Source organism: Homo sapiens, chromosome 9, assembly GCF_000001405.40.
Source record: "Homo sapiens chromosome 9, GRCh38.p14 Primary Assembly".
NCBI classification, from domain to species: Eukaryota; Metazoa; Chordata; class Mammalia; order Primates; family Hominidae; genus Homo; species Homo sapiens.
In genome coordinates this window covers 119,360,178-119,370,950 of record NC_000009.12, presented here as the reverse complement: position 1 = coordinate 119,370,950, position 10,773 = coordinate 119,360,178, and the positions used below count along the sequence as shown (strand labels likewise).

The 10,773-nt window shown below is 46.7% G+C and overlaps 1 protein-coding gene across 1 annotated transcript in view, besides 4 other annotated features; it reads left to right on the top strand.

Annotated features, from left to right (window-relative positions):
* Window positions 552-1,072: an enhancer, noted in NCBI's record as "H3K4me1 hESC enhancer chr9:122132157-122132677 (GRCh37/hg19 assembly coordinates)". NCBI's record gives its function as "activates a minimal SCP1, AML or CMV promoter by ChIP-STARR-seq in primed H9 embryonic stem cells {active_cell/tissue: H9 hESC(primed)}" and the evidence as "EXISTENCE:reporter gene assay evidence [ECO:0000049][PMID:30033119]".
* Window positions 1,073-1,595: an enhancer, noted in NCBI's record as "H3K4me1 hESC enhancer chr9:122131634-122132156 (GRCh37/hg19 assembly coordinates)". NCBI's record gives its function as "activates a minimal SCP1, AML or CMV promoter by ChIP-STARR-seq in primed H9 embryonic stem cells {active_cell/tissue: H9 hESC(primed)}" and the evidence as "EXISTENCE:reporter gene assay evidence [ECO:0000049][PMID:30033119]".
* The window catches only part of BRINP1 (BMP/retinoic acid inducible neural specific 1), a 202,807-nt gene continuing 193,549 nt past the window's right edge, over window positions 1,516-10,773 (top strand). Inside the window, exon 1 of the mRNA NM_014618.3 lies at window positions 1,516-1,895. The gene's annotated coding sequence lies outside the window, so the exon portion shown is untranslated. The remainder of the gene's footprint in view (window positions 1,896-10,773) is intronic.
* Window positions 1,596-2,117: an enhancer, noted in NCBI's record as "H3K4me1 hESC enhancer chr9:122131112-122131633 (GRCh37/hg19 assembly coordinates)". NCBI's record gives its function as "activates a minimal SCP1, AML or CMV promoter by ChIP-STARR-seq in primed H9 embryonic stem cells {active_cell/tissue: H9 hESC(primed)}" and the evidence as "EXISTENCE:reporter gene assay evidence [ECO:0000049][PMID:30033119]".
* Window positions 5,019-5,700: an enhancer, noted in NCBI's record as "OCT4-NANOG hESC enhancer chr9:122127529-122128210 (GRCh37/hg19 assembly coordinates)". NCBI's record gives its function as "activates a minimal SCP1, AML or CMV promoter by ChIP-STARR-seq in primed H9 embryonic stem cells {active_cell/tissue: H9 hESC(primed)}" and the evidence as "EXISTENCE:reporter gene assay evidence [ECO:0000049][PMID:30033119]".

Below are 10,773 nucleotides of genomic sequence, written 5' to 3'. Positions count from 1 at the left end.
CTCTCCCTTTCCTCTCCCCTCAGTCCTGACCTTCTGAGACCCAGGATCATTCTGGCTAGCTCGATGTCTTCTCCTCTCTTTCTCCCTTTCTCTTTGTCGATTAAATAATTTTTCCCGAGTTCCCAGTTCATCACTCAAACATTTCTCTTCCATTTTGTTTCAAGACTCCTCTTCCTCCAATTAGTTCACTGGCTCCTAGATTGTTCTAGGCCTCCCTGGTGGTCACATCTCTCTCTTATCATCCTTTGAATTAAAAAACAAACAAAAAACATACAATGGCAATCATAAAAGCAGACAACATGCACTGAGCACTCACTAGGTGTCAGGGAGCAGTCTAAGTGCCTTTGCATACATTAACTCATGAGCAGTCTAAGTGCCTTTGCATATATTAACTCATTACAATTCCACATCAACCCTATTAGATGGGTAGATATATTATTATTCTATTAAACAGACAAGGAATTGAGGCTTAAGGGGTAAGTGATTTCACCAAGACCAGACAGCTACAGGACTCCAACCTCTCTGGAGCCTGCACTTCTACTGAATCTGGCTCTTTTACATATTCCAACACCTTTTCCTATGACTTCCTGCCCCTCCATCTGGTAGCCTTAATGCTTTCTATTCTTGCCTAATCTTCAGGGGACTAGGGATCTGCATTGCTGATTTGGTTTAAATCAGAAGGGAAGCAAAGTAAACAAACATACCAAATGTGCGCTGTGTGGGAATTATCATACGAGGGCTTTATTTTCTGCTTCAGGAAGAGGCCCTATGTTAGCAGCCCCAGCCTGCATTCAGGCTGATTGCAGAGTATTTTGCTTTTTATTTTCATGTCTTAGTCCCTGTACCCTCGCCCCTTCCCCGCCTCTGGTGGTCTCCAGAGAACTTCGTGTCCCCTCAGCTTCTCCCTCCTACATCCTGCCTACGTAGAGAAGCTCTTGCTTCATTCTGGGAGGTTACGTGGGCTCTCGCCTACACACCGAGAGAAACAAACAGTGTCAAACACTCACAGAGAGACGCGCAGACACAAACGGACCCACACGGGCAACTCCCGAGACAAAACCCACACTCGATGGATCCACGCGGCCGTGGAAACACCTGCCGCCCCAGAAACACTCAGGTACTCGCGACACACACAGTACAGTCACGCTTAAGGGCACCAGGATTCCGGGTTTGCGCGTATGCGCGGTCCCTTTGGATGCTCGTGCGCATAGACACAACACCCTACACGCCCCAGACCCACGAAACTCCCTACGGCTCAGCCCCAGCCCACCCGGGCCGCCCTTCCCTCGAGGCGGCCTCCCGTCTCTCCTCCTCTCGCTTCTCCTCCTCCTCCGCCTAAAGATGTACAAAACACTCCTCGGAAGCAACCCCGGCGTTCAGCTCCTCCCTCCCCGCCCCCCGGCCGCCGCTCCCCCATTCATTTTCGGCCGTCGCCGGCTAAGTCCCTCCCCCGGCGTAGCCCGGCCTCCGCCGCTCCCCGCCCGGAGACCGCGGCGCACTTGGACTTCCCTCTCCATTCGCCAGCCGCCTCGCTCCCGGACCCCACGGCTGCAAACTGATCTGGCGCGCGGGGAGGAGGAGAGCGCAGGCGAGCGAACCCGCGAGAGAGGGAGAGAGCGAGCGAGCAACAGCGAGAGCGAGAGCGAGAGAGCCGGGAGGCAGAGGGAGTAGTGACCGCCTTCCGGAGCCGGGATTCATGCCTGTCCTCGGGACCAGCGAAGGGGACTTTACGGCTGAGTATGAGCCAGGCTGCTAGGAGCCAGGTACCCCCACGCCTGCAGTCCCCGCGCCGTGCCCGGAATGCGAGCTGCACGCAGGGCTCTCCCAAGTTCCCACCGAGCCGAATAAAAAGCGTCCTCCCGCAGCTCTCCGCCAAAGACGGACATTGACTCCAGGTAAGGCGGCGCCGGGTGCAGCGCCCCGCAGCCCCGCTGCCCTTGGACCCGGCCCCGGGCCGCATTCGGGGCGTCCCCGCGCTCCTCTGCCCCTCCCCCTACCGGCACCCTTGTCCGCTCTTCACCTGGCCGCCCCGCCGCCTCCAAGTCTTCTCCAGTTCTAGGGAGGGGGTTCCTGTGCCTGGGGCTCAAAGGGCTAATTGCGGGTTTGAGTGAGTGGCGTGTGTGTCCCCGCGCGCTCCCGACGTGTGCACCATGGTGGGAACTTGATGTGGTGCTAGTGTGTTTGCGTGTGCGGCGTCGTTTGCGTTTGATGCGTGTGTTCGTGGTGTGTGTGTGTGTCCGTGTGTGTAAGGGAGGGGTGAAGAGAGAGAGGTCCTATAACCTACTTACGGCGCGATGTGTGTGTGCATGTTTGTACGTATGTGTTTGTATGTGTGCCCTCGTGTGTCTTTTTAATTAGGTCTCTCCAGCTTACACGGAATGGGACCCTTACTATAGGATCACGTAGTCACCGGGAAACCCGCTGTGGACTTCCTCTTGGGGCTCTGGGCTTGGGGTTTGGGGAGGATTATGGGGCTGTAGATGGCACCTTATTTAGCCCAATGTTGGTACGCTTGAAGGAAAATTCCTCCAAACGGTGGAATCCTGCTACACTGGGACCCACAGCTTAATATGAAAGAGACATGGCCAACCCCCGAGGCAAATGAGACGCTGTCACTTTAAATTCTACACTGGGCAGACTCCAAGATTCTGATGGGAATTTGGAGACACTGGATAGTGGGTGACAGAGAAAGGGGGAAGTCAGCGGTGGGCTCCTTATCTGGGGCTTGGAAAGTCTGGGATAGGGATTTACCCTGCATCCCCGTTTGCAATCAACAGAGCCCCTCCGGCTTCTGTTGGTTTTGGGGAGGATCTGGCAAGTTTGCATGGATCCCCCTCAGGGGAAAGGAGAAAGCGTCCTCGGGGACTTGCTCATCCATCACAGTTGCAAAGGGTCTCAGAGGAAATTTCATCTGGGGCGGCTGTGGATGATATGGAAGGAGATGGATGGGGCACTTTCCTAAGACAGATTCGTCTTTCTTTCCCCATTTCAGGCGGGGAAGCCCCCAGAGAGTCTCTCCCTAAATATGCCTCTCCATGGCTCCCCTGGAGTTAGGGGGATATTGAGAGAAGGCAGAGAGGTGGAGAGGGAGAGAGAGAGAGCAAGAGCGAGAGAGAGGGAGACAGAGAGAGAGAGTGTTTCAGTACTGAGGGAGATCTACAATTTGAAAAGGGGCTGTGAGTGTGGAACCCATGACAGAATGTGGCAGTAATTGACTTAAACTGCTGTCGGTTTGCACCTCGCGTCTCTCACTTGGCTCCAAAATACTGCCAAGGGCAGGGGGGCGGTGGAGGAATCTCAGCCAGGAAGGTAGTTTGGGTCAAGGCCCTCTTTCTTCTTTCCTCCATCTCCTGGGAGGCTCTTTAGGTAGGTCCCTTGGCCACCCTGGCTTGGTACTGTTGGGCTTGGGCTCTGGGGCCAGCCATTGATTTGATTCCCAGCTGCCTCTTAAAGGCTTGCCCTACTCAGCAAAAATGCTGAGTTTTACTGCTGTTAGCATGGCTTCCAGACTCGGCAGCTGTTACTTTCTCAAGGTAAGCGGCAGCCGTTCTGCTCTCAGGCAGGGAGGCTAGGAGAAGACAAGGGCTGTGACGCTGGGACACAGCCTCTTGTCTAGCTCAGCACGGAGGGGCCGCTGAAAAGCCCTCTTAGGGGAAAAAAGTAGAAATATATTTGGCCTAAAAAATGTACACATATATTCTAGGAAGATATATATATATATATATATATCAATCACACACACACACACACACACACATGTGTTCATATTCTGGGGAGAGATAAAAGCAAACATGTATTTGTAGGAACCTGCCCTAGTGGGTGGGTTCTACCTGCAGGCACTTGCAGACATACCATTCTCTGTCCAGAGGCTGATACCTCAGGCTGAAGCCTTCACATAGCCACAGAGAATCTCCTTCAGGAAACTCATGTCAGGGCAGAGCTCCCTGGATTATCTTGGGTAGGGGGTACTAGGGCCAAGGAGGAGACCCATTTTTGGGAACTGCCTCATTTTCTCTCTTTCCTAATTCACAGACGATCGAAACTGGAAGGAATATTAAAGAGCAGAAAGGCAGGACTCTGTGGCCTAAAGAGGGAATGAGAATTCCCCAACATTCAGTAGTGGGTTAGTGGCATGCCCAGGACTAGAATCTAGGCTTATCAATCAGCTAGATCAATACCCTTTCCACTCCTCCCAGCAATATACACTCTAGGACTGTATATTGCTCCCACCCCTATCTTGCCAACCTGCCACCATGACCCCTACCAAGACAATCGCTTGTCTTCCCTCATCAAACTTCACATTTTCAGAGATGCATTTCAGGGTTTTTCTATCTGGAAACATGGCCCTGAAGAGAAAAGATCCAATGCCTCAATCACTATTCCCGAAAGACACACACACACACACACACACACACACACACACACACACACACACACACACACACACGGTGGTGGGGGGAGGACTGAGAGAGAGACAGAGAGAGAACATAGATTCCTTCTCCAATGTCTTTAGGGAATTACCGACAAGCAAGGACCCAGTACTGAGTGTGACTGGTAGGCAGAACCCAGCAAAGTGTCTGGTCTGTATCTAAGATTTTTATTAAGGAATGCACTGGTTTCCAGAGAGCAAAATGTACACCCATCTACCAGTGCAAATACTTCAGGCAAATTAATTTCTTTATATTAATTAGAATCTCACCCCTAGACATTAATACATATTACAGGCACAGAAGCATATGCAAGCACACATGCATAGGTGTGCTTATACACACATGTGCACACAAAGATCCAGAAACCTTTCCTGCTTGCTACATTTCCAAAAAAGAGAACCTCCACACCAAATTGTGTTCTCCCATATAAAGCATCTCCCATGTGAAGAGTAGGACCCATAAACTCCAGGGAAGGAGAAATGTAAAGCCCTGTGAAAGAGAGACCCTGGAGAAGTCAGAATCGAGTTCACTCAAAAGCGTGCTCTTAGACTTCTAGATGCCTGTTTCGGGGTGCAGGCAGATACTGAAAAACATGGGGGTTTTAGGCCCATCTGCAATAGAGCCTTTTCCATGCAGGATTTTCCGGGGCTAGATGGCACTTTAGCTCCCAGAAGGGGGAGCTGTGACTCCATTTCAACCAAGGAGAAACAGCTCAGAGATGCCAAATCAGCTCTTGGGCCCCCGTTGAGTTTAGACGACCCAGCTCAGGCTGCAATGAGTATCTTTGCCGCTGGTACAGGCAAGAATTGTAAAAACACCCTCCCCTGATAGGTTCGAATTCAACATCTCTTTCTTAGTGCTTGCAAGAGTTTATGTTATGGATCATAAAGTCCTCTATTTTTCTGAAAAGGTCTTTGCCCAAAGGCCCCTTCAGTTGTGCAAGGAGACATTTTTTGATTTGCAACCTGTCTCTTTTCCCCTCCCAATTCCTTAGAGGAAATCACCAGTACATTATCACTTGAATGGGCCATTAAGGTTAGACATACCCTACCCGTCTTTTCCTGCTTTTCCCTTGCTGAAATACAAAGCTTAACAAATTGGCTGCTGAACTACTGGTAACCATGTTAAAGACAAGATGGAGGTCATGTGAAGAAGACAGGTCCTTAAATGTCATTCTTCAAATAATTTTTCCAGTTGTGCTCCCTTCTGCAAAGATTATCTTTATTATTCTTTCCACCATCTCCCACATTCAGCCACGACTTTTAACAAAATTCCACCCATATTTCAACATCTAGCTCAAATGACCCTTCCAAGAAGTCTTCTCAAGATCTTATTTTGGAATTAATCTCTTTATCACCTGATTTTTCTGTACCATTTTATCTGAAACTCTATTTTAGTTTGTGTCTCTGTTTGCCCTGCTTTATAGCGCTGGGGGTATAGGTCTATCTTACCCTCTTCAGTATGGTCTCAGGAGCATCTTTGTATTCCAGGGACTGACACAGAGTAGTTGCTTTATAAATGTTTGCCCTTGCATTTCCTGTTGCATCTCAATAGCAACTGTCATCTCTCTCTCTGTCTCTCACACTTTCTAGCTAACAATTGCTTCATGTTCATTTAAAGCAATGCCGTTACGGCATTTTTGCCTATACCAAGAATATGGGGATTCCAATGATAATATAGACAGATGAAAATTAGACCCTACCTGGAAGTGAATATTGACTTCCTGTGTTCCAGGGTCTTTAGTTTTGTTCTCTCATGTAGTCGTTCTTTCCACCCAGTGGGACAGATACAGCCCCTTTTACAGAAGAGGAAAGTGAAGCCCAGGTTGGTTAGACTCCTTGATCAAGGTCACACAACCATCACAGCTAGAATTTGAAACTGTCTTCCTTCTTACGTCATCTCTGCTCTTTTCACTGGACCACTGAGTTAATGGTAACTATTATGAATGGTTGGCAACATCGGGTTGTTCAATAGGTGCTAGGAATAGCTGGGAGTTATTATGAGCTCTTTGAAATTGATGGTATGAAGGTGTCATGAGTCACTGGATCAAAGAAAACCTCTGAAGGTTTCTCAATGACCAAACTTTTCTGTTTTCAGGAATGACGAGTCCTTTTTGTAATGCCAATAATACATGACCATTCAGTCTCAGTTTTAGTACTTTTAGTGATAGCAAGTTCATTACCGCACAAACCAGCCTATGTCATATTTGAAGAGCTTTGTTGGAATATTTTCTTACTTTGCCCCTAAATCATCCTTCTATCCATATGTCTCTGAAATCACACAAGTGCAATTCTCTTCCAGTTTTCAGTTCTTCGAATATTATGAAAACATAATTATTTCACAACAGTTTTCTTTCTGAATAGAGGGGATTGTCTTCACAGCCCTGTCTTCTGTAGCATCTGCTTGGAGGCCTCTTGGCACCCTGAATACTGTCCTAGGGAAATTGTCTAGTTTACCTCACTTTTAGGGCTTCGATGCCACCAAAAAAAAAAAAAAAAAAAAGGGAGGGATGACCTGAAATTGAGTGAGGATTTATTCAACAAATATTTATTGGGTGCCTACTGTTTGCCAAACATTGCTGTAGACGAGAGCTGTCAAATAGAACTGTCTGTGATGATGGACATGTTTTTTGTGCTGTCCAATATGGTAGCCACTAACCATGTATGATTGCTGAACACTTGAAATGTGGCCAGTGTTGCTGATGAACTGAATATTTAATTTTATTTAACTTATATTAATTTTTATTTTAATTTACATAGCTATATGTGGCTCATGGCTACTCTATTGAATAGCACAGGTCTGGGCTTTAGAAATGTAGCATGTACATGGCCATGGCCTTGTTTGTTTTCATTAAGTTCACACTCTAGAGGAGCGAGATGAATAATCAATGAGTAAACAAATAGATAAGCAAGATAATTTTATATAATATTAAATGTCACACCACTAGTCGTGGTAATGTGGTAGAAAGGAATGTGGATGGTATAATTTTCGATTGAGTAGCCAGGAGAAGCCTCCTCTGAGAAAGTGATGTTGGAACTGAGGCTTAAATGAGAAGGAATCAGCCATGTAATTTTGTGGGGAAAGAGCATTAGAGGCAGAGAGAAGAATAAAATGGAGTTGGCCAGGCTTGGTGGCTCATGCCTCTAATCAAAGCACTTTAGGAGGCTGAGGTGGGAGGATCGCTTGAGCCCAGGTGTTTGAGACCAGCCTGGGAAACATAACAAGACCCCATTTCTACAACAATAATAATCATCTTTAAAAAAACAGCTGGGCACCTGTAGTCCCAGCTGCTCCGTAGGCCGAGGTTGGAGAATCACTTGAACCTGAGAGGTTGAGGCTGCAGTGATCTGTGATTGCACTACTATACTACAGCTGAGCAAGCAGCAGAGTAAGACCCTGTTTCAAAAAACAAAACAAAACCAAACAAGCCACGGAGTCATTTCACTGGGACAAGCTTAGGAAGTCTAAGAGATGGACTACCTGCCAGTGTGGCTGAAGCTTTCAAATTGGGAACATGACATAAAAGGGAATTAGGAAGGTAGGCAGGGGCAGATCACAATGGCCTGTACAGGAGAGTGAGAAGTTTTGACATCTTTTCCTTGACATCTCTGGTTGGAAGGCAGGTAGTTTGAGGACTAAAGAGAGTTTGAGAATTGACAGAAGGTCATTGTCAAGTACTTTTGATGGGTTTTTATTATGTCCATTTTTAATCAGTAATTTCTACAAGTTTTCTCATTTTAATTTCTACTCCTACTCTGAATGCCATACCCTGGAGATACAACAGTGTAAAGTGAGGAGGAGAAACAAGAGTAGGGGAAATGGATAGAAAAGGAAGGAGAGAATGAATATGTGGGGATAAAGTAATTTAAATGAAGTGTTGTGAAAAAGAATGAAAGCTGGAAGTTTTCAGTTTGGATCAGCAAATATTTATTGCATATCTTGTCGTGGAAAGGCTTTGGACAAAGTGACTTGGGGGGTATGGTGATGAATCTTGCTAGGTGCTGGCAATCTAATAGTACCGATCTGCAAATCTATAAATAATTATCATTCATGATAGATTGATAATTGTCACTTCAGAAGTTCTGTGAGAATTTTGGGTAAGGGGAAGTCTAAAGGAAGACACTTCAGTAGTGATAGTGGTGAGGAGGATGTCGACAGTGAACTATAAGGTCTCAGAGATCACAGGCAGTATCTTTTTCTGTCTCCATTAATTCGGAATATTATACAATAAGAGCACAGGGACTCAGGGTACCTGATTCCAGTCCTGGCTTCTATCACTATATATCTAGACCCCCTCAAGAACCTATCTTTATCTCTCCAGGCTTGCCTTCTGTAAATTGAGAAGGGCCCAGCTGTGGCTTGCTTCACTGAAGGTATATTGCCTGGCTTTATGAAAATGTTGCAGTCAGGCATGGTGGCTCACGCCTGTAATCCCAGCACTTTGGGAGGGCGGAGGGGTTGGGGGTGGGGGGGTGGTGGATCATGAGGTCAGGAGTTCGAGACCAGCCTGACCAACATGGTGAATCCGTGTCTCTACTAAAAATACAAAAATAGCTGGGCATGGTGGCGTGTGCTTGTAATCCCAGCTACTCAGGAGGCTGAGACAGGAGAATCGCTTGAACCCGGGAGGCAGAGGTTGCAGTGAGCTGAGATCGCACCACTGCACTCCAGCCTGGGCGACAGAGCGAGACTCTGTCTCCAAAAAAAAAAAAAAAAAAAAAAATGCAAAAACTGTAGCTGGGCGTAATGGTGCACACCTGTAGTTCCAGCTACCTGGGAGGCTGAGGTAGGAGGATCACTTGAGCCTGGGAAGTAGAAGTTGCCGTGAGCCAAGATCATGCCACTGCACTCCAGCCTGGGTGACAGAGTGAGGCTCTGTCTGAAAAAAAAACAAAAAAAAGAAGAAGAAGAATATGTTGCATGACAAAGTTCTTGTAAAAGCAGAGAGAGACACACACAGTAGCTGTGCTTCCTCATAAGATTTAGATGTCTTCTAAAAAATAAGGAAATTTAAAAGAGGTCATACCTTACAGCACAGACTGTGTTTCGAGACAGTGTGGCTGAGTGGTGGTGAGATAGTGATTCTATGCCATGGTGGCAACTCCTGATATCAAAGTGATTAAGGGTTAACATGAAACCCACTGTCCTCATGGAACACAGCAGCCCAGAAAGACTGCCTAGAGATCCATAGACAGTCCTTGCTACTGAGGGGGCAAAAAAGACAATTAAGGAGATAATGAGGCTGAGAAAAAGTGAAATTAATTTTTTTTTTCATATGAGGGTGAAGGGGATCTTTGTCTCCTGAGGGAACTATCTTTTGGAGATTGCAAGTGGCCTTAAGGAGAATAGACTGAATGAGACTGGGTATGAGAGAGAAAGTGAAGAGTCATAAATTACCCGGACTTCCTGCTATCCCCACACAGGAATGGAGAGCCTGGTGAGGACACAAAATATATCATTCTGAACAAATTTTGTTCTCAGTTTGCAGAGGTTTTCTCACAGGGTGCGGAGTTGTATACCGGGAAGTTGGGGCCATCTTGGGATAGCTAGGAGACTGTATTCCCTCAAGGGTGGCAGGTAGATTGATAAGGTAATTAACAAAAGCAACATGCAACCATTTTTGTGTAAACTGCAAAGGTCAGAGCAGCAGGGCTCTTAGCAAATGGCCTATGTGAACAGCTAGAACCCTTTGTAAGGGTTAACCCAGTACTGGCCCTGGGAGGTTTCTAAGATATAATTTATCTAGCCTTGCAAAGGTCCTACAAATGAGCCATTGGGAACCTCTGTGAGAAATAATGGAGCTTGGGGATAATGGAGAACAGCCGCGTTTAGCCACGTTACAGATTACAAGCTGATTCAGTTGGAGGAAAGGCAGACATCCAGGATATGATTGCTTTTTGGGGAAAAAGTGGTGAATTCTCAAGTCTCCATTCTAAGATTTAGCAATCTGCAAAAGTAGATGAAACTCTAGTAGGCTGTGGAATTCCTAGAGTCCCCAGGAGCTCCAAGATAAACCTAGAAGAGCAAACAGAGAGCTGTGAAAGAGACAACTGCCTTCCGTAAGTACGTACGTTTCCCTTTACATGGTAGTGGATAAGCCAGATTTCTTATGGAATTTGATGGGTTCTGAGTTTACAGGCGCATGATAAAGGAAGGACCTACAGGAAGCCTGGGCTGGGACGACAAAAACATCTGCACAAGCATAGGGGCCATTAGAAAAGAAAATCAGCACTTTGGTATGCTTAGGAAAGATTGAAAAATAGATTACCTGGCAAGGGTTGGTAATACAGTTTTGCTGCTGGGACACATTTTGGAGACACAGTTCTTTTAGGTGAAGTGGTCC